Source organism: Homo sapiens, chromosome 7 (genome assembly GCF_000001405.40).
Source record: "Homo sapiens chromosome 7, GRCh38.p14 Primary Assembly".
In the NCBI taxonomy this organism is placed as follows: domain Eukaryota; kingdom Metazoa; phylum Chordata; class Mammalia; order Primates; family Hominidae; genus Homo; species Homo sapiens.
This window is the reverse complement of record NC_000007.14, coordinates 102421939-102433204: the sequence shown is the minus strand read 5'-3', so window position 1 is coordinate 102433204 and position 11266 is coordinate 102421939. Positions and strand designations below refer to the sequence as shown.

The 11266-nt window shown below is 52.1% G+C and overlaps 1 protein-coding gene and 1 long non-coding RNA gene across 2 annotated transcripts in view, besides 5 other annotated features; both read right to left on the bottom strand.

Annotated features, from left to right (window-relative positions):
* Window positions 31-170: a silencer, noted in NCBI's record as "silent region_18504". NCBI's record gives its function as "represses an Ori minimal core promoter by ATAC-STARR-seq in GM12878 lymphoblastoid cells {active_cell/tissue: GM12878}" and the evidence as "EXISTENCE:reporter gene assay evidence [ECO:0000049][PMID:35858748]".
* Window positions 1569-1863: a silencer, noted in NCBI's record as "tiled region #9959; HepG2 Repressive DNase matched - State 3:PromF". NCBI's record gives its function as "represses a minimal TATA promoter and a strong SV40 promoter by Sharpr-MPRA in HepG2 cells {active_cell/tissue: HepG2}" and the evidence as "EXISTENCE:reporter gene assay evidence [ECO:0000049][PMID:27701403]".
* Window positions 6288-6577: an enhancer, noted in NCBI's record as "active region_26433". NCBI's record gives its function as "activates an Ori minimal core promoter by ATAC-STARR-seq in GM12878 lymphoblastoid cells {active_cell/tissue: GM12878}" and the evidence as "EXISTENCE:reporter gene assay evidence [ECO:0000049][PMID:35858748]".
* LOC100630923 (LOC100289561-PRKRIP1 readthrough) overlaps window positions 6523-11266 on the bottom strand; it is a 62822-nt gene continuing 58078 nt past the window's right edge. Inside the window, 1 exon segment of the long non-coding RNA NR_038967.1 lies at window positions 6523-8191. This is a non-coding gene — a long non-coding RNA (LOC100289561-PRKRIP1 readthrough).
* PRKRIP1 (PRKR interacting protein 1) overlaps window positions 6539-11266 on the bottom strand; it is a 30304-nt gene continuing 25576 nt past the window's right edge. The window contains exon 6 of the mRNA NM_024653.4: window positions 6539-8191. Coding sequence (NP_078929.1) covers window positions 8094-8191 — 98 coding nt within the window. The 3' untranslated portion in view covers window positions 6539-8093. The remainder of the gene's footprint in view (window positions 8192-11266) is intronic.
* Window positions 6738-7641: an enhancer, noted in NCBI's record as "H3K4me1 hESC enhancer chr7:102066011-102066914 (GRCh37/hg19 assembly coordinates)". NCBI's record gives its function as "activates a minimal SCP1, AML or CMV promoter by ChIP-STARR-seq in naive H9 embryonic stem cells {active_cell/tissue: H9 hESC(naive)}" and the evidence as "EXISTENCE:reporter gene assay evidence [ECO:0000049][PMID:30033119]".
* Window positions 7058-7567: an enhancer, noted in NCBI's record as "active region_26432". NCBI's record gives its function as "activates an Ori minimal core promoter by ATAC-STARR-seq in GM12878 lymphoblastoid cells {active_cell/tissue: GM12878}" and the evidence as "EXISTENCE:reporter gene assay evidence [ECO:0000049][PMID:35858748]".

Here is an 11266-nt window from a genome sequence, read left to right as displayed (position 1 = left end):
ACCCACAGACCACGAGCTGGGCTTTCCCTGCCCCTGGGTCCGGGCGCAAAAGGGGAGCCCCAGGCTTGGCAGGGTGAGCCTCGGGGGGTGCCCAGCATTGGACGCTGGCTGCGTAGAGGGGCGGGGAGTGGGGACAGGGCGGGCGGGTGCAGGTGGGCAGTGGAGGGGAAAGGAAGGTGGGGAGGGGAGAATCCGTCTGGCCACGCCCGAGTTTTCACAGGATTTTTTTTTTTATTTTTTTGAGACAGGGTCTGGCTCTGTCGCCCAGGCTGGACTGCAGTGGTGCGATCACGGTTCAATGCAGCCTCGAATTCCTGAGCTCGAGTGATCCTCTGCCCTCAGTCACCCAAAGTGCTGAGGCTACATGTAGGCAGGAGCCACCACACCGTGGTAGTTTTTAAAAAATTTGTTTTTGTTTGTTTTTTGAGAGGGAGTTTTGCCCTGTCACCCAGGCTGGAGTGCAGTGGTGCCATCTTGGCTCACTGCAACCCCCGACCCCGGGGTTGAAACGATTCTCCTGTCTCAGCCTCCGAGCTACAGGTGCACGCCACTAGCCTGGCTACTTTTTTGTATGTTTAGTAGAGATGGGGTTTCACCATGTTGGCCGGACTGGTCTTGAACTCCTGACCTCAGGTGATCCTGCCTGCCTCGGCCTCCCAAAGTGCTGGGATGATACATGTGAGCCACTGTGCCCAGCCAAAAAAAAAAAAAAAAATTCTTTTTTTAGAGATAGAGTCTTCCTGTATTGCCCAGACTGGTCTTAAACTCCTGGCCTCAAGCAATCCTCTCTTAGCCTCTCAAAGCACTGGGATTACAGGCATGTGCCACAATGTCCAGCTAATTTTTAAATTTTTTAAAAAAATTGAGATGGGTCTTGCTATGTTGCCTCTGCTGGTCTCGAACTCCTGGGCTCAAGTGATCCTCCCACCTCAGCCTCCCAAAGTGCTGGGCATAGAGGCATGGGCCACCTTGCTTGGCCCCTGCCCAGGGTGTTGGATGGCACCATGAAGAGCTTGCACTGAGCTAATTGGGGGTTGCCACCCAGAGTGCACTGCCACTCACAGACCCAGCGAGACCCCTGGGGTCCCAACTTCAGTGCAGCGTGCTGTCCTTCTCATGCTGTTCGCAGACAGCAGCAAAGAGTTTCTGCTGTGCCCTGGCCCCTTCCACTCCCTACTGCAGGGAGCCTCTCACCTTTAACGGTGAATTCTCTGCGGTTTTACGAGCGAGGCAGTCAAACAGGAGCATTCTTTTCAGGAAGTGCAGCACATGAATAATTCACAGACAGACAAGATGGGTTCCTATCAGCCCGGCGGTGCCAGACGGTCCCTTGGAGTCCTTCCTCCATGCCGGGTAGGCTGCTGCGTGCCCTACATAGGATTTTTCCATCTGTCACAACAGCATTGGACCGTGACACATTTATCCAAACGAAGGAAAAATTCCACTCATGTCAGCCAGCCCACATTTTATGACAATTGGAAGAGTAGATGTTACGGACGCCAGGTTAAATCCATCTACACTTCGAGTTGTCTTTTACAGGCTACTGCTGACAGCCAGAATGAAACCAGGAGGACACTTAGTCTAATAAACCAGGTTTCCCCCTCCGGGTTACTGACCTAAAAGGCAAGTTAGGCCCTAACATGGACATAAGCAAATCCCAGGGTTCCTTACTGGCCCTCCTCCTGCCACCCCCATCAATGGCTATGGGTGAGGGAACATTTGAATTTCAGGGGTAAAGTCCTCAAAAAGCAATCATGTTATGGCTTTCCAACGTGGAGTTCTTGGTAAAATGAATCTCGGTGGCTCATGCCTGTAATCCCAGCACTTTGGGAGGCTGATCACCTGAGGCCTGGAGTTCAAGACCAGCCAGGTCAACTGGTAAAACCCCATATCTACTAAAAATACAAAAATTAGCCAGGCATGGTAGCGCACGCCTGTAGTCCCAGCTACTGGGGAGGCTGAGGCAGAAGAATCGCTTGAACCTGGGAGGCGGAGGTTGCAGTGAGCCAAGATCACACCATTGCACTCCAGCCTGGGCCAGAGAGCAAGACTCTGTCTCAAAACACACACACACACACACACACACAAAACAGGAAGAAAACACTTTGTAAACGCAGTAGTTTGCATCATAGATGAATGTGCTTTCAGCAAAGGAGTCCTTTGCTTGTTGAATTCTCACTCTTGCAGCGACTTCACTCATCCTTGAGAAAGCTTCCTGTGCCCGTTACTGATGCCGCCACCCCACAGGCATATTTATCCAGCATGCCCAGACAGAAGCAAAATGCAAGTTGTAATTGCCAGTGCTTTGCAGAGTTGGTTTCCTAACCAAACACAGAATAGCTTGCTTGCTTGCTTTTCTTTCCCTCCCTCCCTTCCTTTTCTCTTTTCTTTCTCTCCCTTCCTTCCCTCCCTCCCTCACTTCCTTCATTTCTTTCTTTCCCCTCCCTTCCTCCCTTCCCTCCCTTCTCTCCCTTCCCCCCCTTCCTTTCCTTCCTTCGTTCCTTCCTTCCCTCCCTTCTCTCCCTTCCCTCCCTTCCTTTCCTTCCTTCGTTCCTTCCTTCCCTTCCTTCCTTCCTCCCTTTTTCTTTCCTTTCTTTCTCTATCATATTTATGAGACAGAGTCTTGCTCTGTTGCCCAGGCTGGAGTGCAGTGGTGCCATCTTGGCTCACTGTAACCTCCACCTCCTGAGTTCAAGCGATTCTCATGCCTCAGCCTCCCAAGTAACTGGGATTACAGGCACGGGCCACCATGCCTGGCTAATTTTTGTATTTTTAGTAGAGACAGGGTTTCACCATGTTGGTCAGACCAGTCTCGAACTCCTGGCCTCAAGTGATCTGCCGGCCTCAGCCTCCCAAAATGTTGAGATTACTGGGGTGAGCCACCATGCCTGGCCTATAATAGCTCCTTCTTTTTGAGATGGAGTTTCGCTCGTCATTCAGGCTGGAGTGCAATGGCATGATCTTGGCTCACTGCAACCTCCACCTCCCGAGTTCAAGCAATTCTTCTGCCTCAGTCTCCCAAGTAGCTGGGATTACAGGCGCCCACCAAGTTTTTGTATATATTTTTTAGGAGAGATGGGGTGTCGCCATGTTGGCCAGGCTGGTCTCCAACTCCTGACCTCAGCTGATCTGCCTGCCTAAACCCAGAGGATGTTTCAGCTGTCAGCCCTGTCATCGGGGACCCCTCCTTCTACCAGGAAACCCTGTTCCTTGGCTCCAGTGAGTCTGCCTGCTTGTCCCCCCATTTTCTGTCCCCTCGATATGCGATTCTCAGGGTTCTGTCTGGGTCCCTCTCCTCTCTTTGCTCCTCCCTGACTGGTTTCATCTACTCCCATAGTTCCAAGGACCAGGGCAGCCTGACAACCCCATCATCACCTTCAGCCTTGATCTCTCTTCCCAGCACATATGCCTAGGGCCCTCCACTTTACCAGGCCCACAGCCGAATCTGTCATCTTCCCTCGCATTCCTGCCCCACCGCCTGGGTCAGCTGTCTCAGAAGGGTTCCCTCACCCACTCAGCTGCTGGCACCCATGAGTCCTCTCCCCATCGGGTCGTGACAATTCTCCCACCTCCACATTGCTGGACTCTCCCTTACTTCTCCCTGTCCCCACTTGCTTCTGCACTAACTCAGGCCACCATCACCTCTGGTCTGCATGGCAAGGCAGGAGCCCTGTCCCCTTCCACAAACTCAAAGGTCCCCCATGTCTCTCCATTCCAGCCCCTACCCTGTGGCCTTTGAGACTCCAGTCCCCTGATTAACAGGGTCTGAGGCCATGGCAGGGCGCCTCCTCCCTCCCCAGCTCGCTTTCTGGGCACTCTTGTTCTCCTGAGCCACCTGACTTCAGCTCAGCGCTCGCCTTCGCAGAGGCCTGGGTCAGGTGCCCACACAGCAGGCTGTGCTGCTCTCCCCAATCCTGTTCCTGCTCAGACCTGGAGCCCCCTGAAGGCAAGGACTGTGTCTTGTCCACCACCATCCCCAGTGCCTAGCAATGGGCCTTGGAATCCCTTGGATTTTGCACTTAGTTGGTGCTCAATAAACATTTGCTATTTTTTTTCATTTATTATTATATTTTTTGAGACGAAGTTTCACTCTTGTTGCCCAGGCTGGAGTGCAGTGGCATCATTTTGGCTCACTGCAACCTCTGCCTCCCAGGTTCAAGCAACTCTCCTGCCTCAGCCTCCCCAGTAGCTGGGATTACAGGCACTGGCCACCATGCCCGGCTAATTTTTGCATTTTTAGTAGAGATGGGGTTTCACCATGTTGGCCAGGCTGGTCTCGAACTCCTGACCTCAGGTGATCCACCTGCCTTGGCCTCTCAAAGTGCTGGGATTACAGGTGTGAGCCACTGCATCCAGCCTTTTACTTCTGAGACAAGGTCTTAGTGTTACCCAGGCTGGAGTGCGGCAGCACAATCATGGCTCACTGCAGCCTCAATCTCCCAGGCTCAAGTGATTCTCCCACTTCAGCCTTGGAAGTAGCTAGGACTATGCCACTAGGCCAGGTGCACTTTTCAATTTTTATTTTTTAGAGATGTGGGGCTCACTATGTTGCTCAGGCTGGTCTTGAACTCCTGGCCTTAAGTGATCCTCCTGCCTAGGCCTCCCAAAGTGCTGGGGTTACAGGCAAGAGCCACCACACCCAGTGGATTTGTGACATTCTGTGGAGTAAGAAAACAAGAAACGGCCTCCTGGAACTCGCTCCAGGTTAATTTCCAAGAGTGTTCTCTCTACTGAAATATATGTTAATATATGGTAATCGTAGCTAACTTTAGTCAAGTACACCAAATAGTAAACAGAAATTAACTTCCAAGAGGGAGAAGGAGAAAACACGTGTCTCCACCATGAATGAAAAAGAATTGGCCTGAGTTCTATTTCCAAGAGTTAGTAGAACACTCCTCTAACTCAATTTTAATTTGTTTTTTACCAAAATATAAATGTTGGAAACAGCGAAATAAATTTAAAATAGTAACAGGGCAGGGCTCGGTGGTGTACACTTATAATCCCAGCACTTTGGGAGGCTGAGGTGGGAGGGTTGTTTGAACTTAGGAGGTGGAGACCAGTGCAAGATGGCAAAACCCTGTCTCCACAAAAAATACAAAAATTAGCCAGGCATGGTGGTACGCACCTGTAGTCCCAGCTACTTGGGAGGATGAGGTGTAAGAATGGCTTGAGCCCGAGAGGTGGAGGTTGCAGTGAGCCGAGATCACGCCACTGCACCCCAGCCTGGGCAAAAGCGCCAGACCTTGTTTCAAAAACAAACAAAAATTAGGCTGGCATGGTGGTGAATGCCTGTAGTCCTAGCTACTTGGGAGGCTGAGATGGGAGGAATGCTTGAGCCCAGGAGTTGGAGGCTGCAGTGTGCAATGATGGCGCCACTGCACTGCAGCCGGGGGGACACAGCAAGCCCTTGTCTCGAAGTTAACTAATTAAAGGGGCGGGTTCTGTAGTAGAATCTCCTGTTTAAACAGTAAAATACCTGTTTAAATGTCTATTTGGGCATGAATCGTAAATGATGCAGAATTACAGGGGCATCACCAGGGAACCTAGATATATTTGTTTTTGAGACAGGGTCTCACTGTGTTACCCAAGCTGGAGTGCAGTGGAGTGATCACGGCTCACTGCAGCCTTCAACTCCTCGGCTCAAGGGATCCTCCTACCTCAGCTTCCCAAGTAGCTGGGACTATAGGTGCGCACCATCACGCCCAGATAATTTTAAAATTTTTTGTAGAGATGGGGTCTCACTGTGTTGCCAAGGCTGGTCTCAAACTCCTGGGCTCAAGCGATCCTCCTGCCTCGGCCTTCCAAAGTGCTGGGATTACAGGCGTCAGCTCACCACGCCTGGCCATAAGAATTCTTGTGTGTGAGTTTGTTTGAGACGATTCTGTTACCTACACCTCTGTGTTCAGTTCCAGACTCCTTCCCACCCATGAGCAATGAGGGACATTACTTCATGATTCTCCCCTAATGGTGGTTTTTTTTGTCGGGGGGAGGGCAGGGGCTCTCAGTATCACCCAATCCTTTCTCAATGATGACATCTGTTTGTTCTTCTTTTCCTAAATAAGTGATGCCCTGAAGAAAGAATCTCTCAACTTAAGGTCCTGATGACCTAGTACTAATGGCCAGAAATGGCTACAGGACATGTCCTGCCTAAATATCATCTCCTGCACCCCGTGGGGGTGAAGCCCACCGCAACCTGGCATCCTGCTGTGTCGCCATGTGCCCACCCACCCAACACACACCTGTGGCGACTGTCTCTCTTGGCCCAGTGAGCTGGCAGAGGCAGGAAGGGACTTGCTGACAGTCCCCTGGCTTACCAGAGGCAGGGGCAGGATTCAAAGCCAGGTCATCAGGCTCCAAGCCCCAGCACCCTCCCCAGCACTGAGGCGGCCCACAAGCTCCAGGTTGCAGACTCAGGGCAGGGGCTGTGACACATGTGGGGGTGGGGAGAGGGATGGAAACCAACAGTCCAAAGATAGGAGAACTAAAACCGAAACACAAACCAGCCAGTCCCAGACAGAGAAAAACAGGTTTCAAAATGTACAGCCAGGGCATGTGCTCATTTATTAGGGCTGACTCTCCGTGTCCGCTTCCTGGGAAAGAAAATCCCTGTGACATGAACCGATGAAGGGACAGAAGCTATCACAGATGCTACAGGGCTCAGAGAGGGGCCGGGGCAATCTACACTACAGAAGTAAAAGCAACGTAAAATGTTTCTGGGTTTCCTTTCCCTTCACTCAAAACCACTATTTCCTTAGTTCTATCAAAGTACGTAAGGGGCATAAAATAGACTCAGGAACTCGGGGCTAAATCATCCAAAAATGGAGCCAAGGCTCTAACTAGAAACTGTCTCTGTCGTCCCTGTTGGCCTCAAAACCCCGAGGTAAAAGGCTGGTCTCGGCTCCTCCCAGGCCCCCTGGCTCCCAGCACAGTGCCCCGTCCTCTGTGTTCATCATCATCGTTTTTTAAGAGACAGGGTCTCGCTCTATTGCCCAGGTTGGCCTTGAATCCCTGGACTCAAGCGGTCCTCCTGCCTTGGCCTTCCGAGTAGCTGGGATTCTAGGCGCATGCCCCTGCGCCGGGCTGCCCTGCTCTCTGCAGGTGCCTTCTCTGCATGGGCCCAGTGCCTGGATGCCAGTTTGAGGCTGCGCCACATGAGGACACAGCAGTTCCGCCTCTCTTCTCCCCGCTGGCCCCAACTGCTGTGAGCCGGCGGAAAGCCCCGACAGTTGCAGTCATGCAAGGAGGAGCTCCACCCACTTGACCCAGTCCCGCCTCTCTCAGCCTGTTCTGTTTAGACCCCCTTCCACTTCGGGATGAAATCACAGCTGTTGGTGAGAGAACCCCCGTCCGGCTGGGAATCCCTCGCCTTCTGCTCTGGCTCAGCCCAGCTTGGAGTCTCCGCCTGCTCACTCTCCGGTGACCGGCTCTTCCCCCACAGCGCTTTCCACACACCCTGTGCCCTTGTGACCCAGCCCCTGGTGAAGTCCCTGGCCCGGGCCTCCTTGTGCACACACCCAGGCCTTCCCAGAACACGAGAGCACCGGGAGCTGCAGTGGGAGCAGACCCTCTATGGCGTGGTCCCCACTTCCCACTGGAGTGAGTGGGCAACATGGACCAGCCCCACAGCTGAGGCCATCTCCTCACTGAGCCTGGGACCAGGTCCACGTAATGTGTCTTCAGTCCCCGTGGGAATGGTGGCATCTCAGCCTTCTCCAGAGTGTTTGCGACTCACGGTCCACATGTCCCAACAAAACGCAAGGGTGTTCTGCTCTTTACTAAATAAACGTTCCCTTCCCAGAAACCAGCCCCAAACTCATCACTGTTCAAATATGTGGCAAGGTGAGGCTCTCTGTCCCCCTTTACCAGGAGCACGGATGGTGTCTGCAAGGCAGTGCCTCTGAGTGTCAGGGAGATGGCCCCTCAGGCTCCCAAACCTGCCAAATACAGGACTGTGAGCGGCTCGGGAGGGGTCTCCTTTGCTCTCCATCCAGCGGGTCAGCGGGTCCTTGCGGGGGAGAAAGAGCCAAACAGCCGCCTTTCCCTTCTGGTCACAGCACGAGCCAGGTTCCAGGCAGAGGCTGTGGCAAACATTGTCATCGCCCCATGGTGAAACTGGGCACTTCCTCCTCCTCCTCTGTTCCAGATGCCTCCGCAGAGCTGCTGGACCCCTGCTCCTTGGGCTGACCGGGTCCTGTAACCACACGACATTCAAATTACAGACATGCAAAATCGTTCAGGGTCAAGGGTGCTTTCAAAGAGGAGAGCTGATGGGAAGTCAAAAGTCCCTGTTCCTAGACCGCATGGCAAGAAACCAGGGTCATGCCTCACGTCCACCAGTCCTCTGAGCCATTCCCCAGGAGTAAGGGTGGCTCACAGACCTGATCTACCACTGCTCTCACGGGTGCACCCCATCTTTACCCAAAGGCCCAGAGGCACACGCAAGACCCGACACCCCATAAACCACGCACTACTTTTACATGGCTCAAGTTGCCTCTTGGGTGGGCAACTTCCCGACCCAGCTCTTCAACACTAACGCCAGGCTGACAACACTCTCACTGAAGTCTCAAGTTCTCACTGCCGTCTGCAAAAGGATTTCCGAAACCTGTGTGGCAGAGGGCTCTGCCCCCCACACATACGCCAGCTTCCCAGCTCCTCCCAAGCATGGCCCAGGAAGCCCCTCCTGACACCTGTGAGCAGCACAGGTTCCCTGTCCCCCATCATGACTGCCAGCCAGAAGCCGAGCATGAGGACGTGTTCCCAACTCCTCCCCTCCCCCTCTTCACGCGGGAGCAGGAGGACAAGTGAGAGTTGGAAAGGCAGAGGCAGAGACCACAAGGCAGCAGATGGCCCGGCTCAGCCATGCCAGGACGCCGGCCGCAGGCACGGTGGCCTCAGCAACTCACAAATGGGTAGGCTCACCCGGGCCAGCCAATGCTCCTTGAGGCACATGTGCAGGGCTTGCCCTGGCCACCCACACGCCCACTACAGACCCTGAGCGCTGCTACTGCTGTGTCACCAAAGGTCAGACAAAGGGCCTCTAAGCAGGAGGCCCTGCACAGCCAAAGGCACAGCCCAGCCTAAAATTCACTGTCATACCCAGGATGGGACCGCAGAAAGAACACAGAACACGCACGGCGCTGGCGAAAGCATCTGGAAGATTTAGTTTCATTAATTTGGGGCATCCCTTTTTCCCCTCAACCTCATACCACACAGCATGATTAGCTTTGAAAGTTCAAACGGGGAAGCCGGGTGCAATGGCACACACCTGTAATCCCAGCACTTTGGGAGGCTGAGGAGGATGGATCACTTGAGCCCAGGAGTTCAAGACAAGCCTGGGCAACACAGCGAGTTCCATTTCTATAAAAAATGGCCTGGTGACACATGCCTATAGTCCTCGCTACTCATGAGGCTGAGGCAGGAGGACCTTCTGGGCCCAGGAGTTCAAGGCTGCAGTGAGCCATGCTACTGCACGGCAGCCTGGGCACAGATTTTTTTTTTTTTAAAGTTTAAATGGTGAGGATATTTTAATAGCTAATATTTGTCCAACACTATTACATGGAAGCACTGTGCTAAGTCTGTACATAGAGTACCCTGTTTAATTCTTACAATAGTCTATGAGGTAAGTACCACTCTTATATATCCATTTTACAGATGAAGAAGATAAAAGACCCAGAGAGGTGGAGGAACTTGCTGCTCGAGATCTCCTATTCACTAAGACAGGGACCCAGGCTCAAACGTGTTCTCTGACTCTCTCAGCCTCTGCCTATGTTGTCTGCAGAAATCGTATAAGGCGCCGGGCACGGTGGCTCATGTCTGTAATCCCAACACCCTGGGAGGCCGAGGTGGATGGATCACGAGGTCAGGAGTTTGAGACCAGCCTGACCAACATGGGGGAAACCTCATCTCTACTAGAAATACAAAAATTAGCCAGGCGTGGTGGCGGGCGCCTGTAATCCCAGCCACTTGGGAGGCTGAGGCAGGAGAATCACTTGAACCCAGGAGGCAAAGGTTGCAGTGAGCCGAGATAGCGCCACTGCACTCCAGCCTGGGTGACAGAGGCAGACTCTGTCTCAAAAAAAAAAAAGAGCATAGGGTCTGATCTTTAATTCTGCTTCTGATGAATACAATACTCGTTGAGCTGGATGTTTGTGGAAGGGAGCAACAGAGGAGGACTGGAAGCATTCCCCGTGGCTGAAAAGCCTTTGAAAATGCAGTATGGGCTGCAGATCCCTTATCCAAAATGCTCGGGACCAAATGTGTTTCAGATTTCGGATGTTTCGGATGTTTCCAGACTTTGGAATATCTGCATCTACACAATGAGATATCTTGGGGATGTGACCCAAGTCTAAACATGAAATTCACTTATGTTTCATATATACCCCACACACATAGCCTGAAGGTAAATATAACATTTAAAAATAATTTTGTGGCTGAGTACAGTGGCTCACACCTGTAATCCCAGCACTTTGGGAGACCGAGGCAGGTGGATCACTCGAGGTCAGGAGTGTGAGACCAGCCTGGCCAACATGGTGAAACCTCATCTCTATAAAAATACAAAAATTAGGCTGGGCGTGGTGGCTCACGCCTGTAATCGTAGCACTTTCAACAGCCGAGGCCGGTGAATCACCTGAGGTCAGGAGTTCAAAACCAGCCTGGCCAACATGGCGAAACCCCGTCTCTACTAAAAATACAAAAATTAGCTGGGCGTGGTGGTGCACCTGTAATCCCAGCTACTTGGGAGGCTGAGGCAGAAGAATTGCTTGAACCGGGGGTGGGAGGTGGATGGAGGTTGCAGCAAGCGGAGATCATGCCACTTCACTCTAGCCTGGGCAAGAGTGAAACTCTGTCTCAGAAAAAAAAAAAATTAGCCAGGCATGGTGGCTCACGCCTGTCATCCAGCTAATTGGGAGGCTGAAGCAGGAGAATCGCTTGAACCCGGGAGGGAGGGGTTGCAATGAGCCAAGATCACAGCACTGTACTCCAGCCTGGGCAACAGAGCTAGAATCCGTCTCTGATAATAATAATCATAATAATAATAATAATAATAATAATAATAATAATTTTGTGTATGAAACACAGTTGTGTACAATGAACCATCAGAAAGCAAAGGCGTCTATCTCTCACCCATGTGGCTGATCTGTGGCTTGGCGTCACCATCATTTCTGACTCTGAATTTGCTACTGATAAGCAATCCTTTTCCTACACTTATTCACACATAAGTGCTTAACGGTAATAAATATGACGGGCCATTCATACAGTGGAAAAT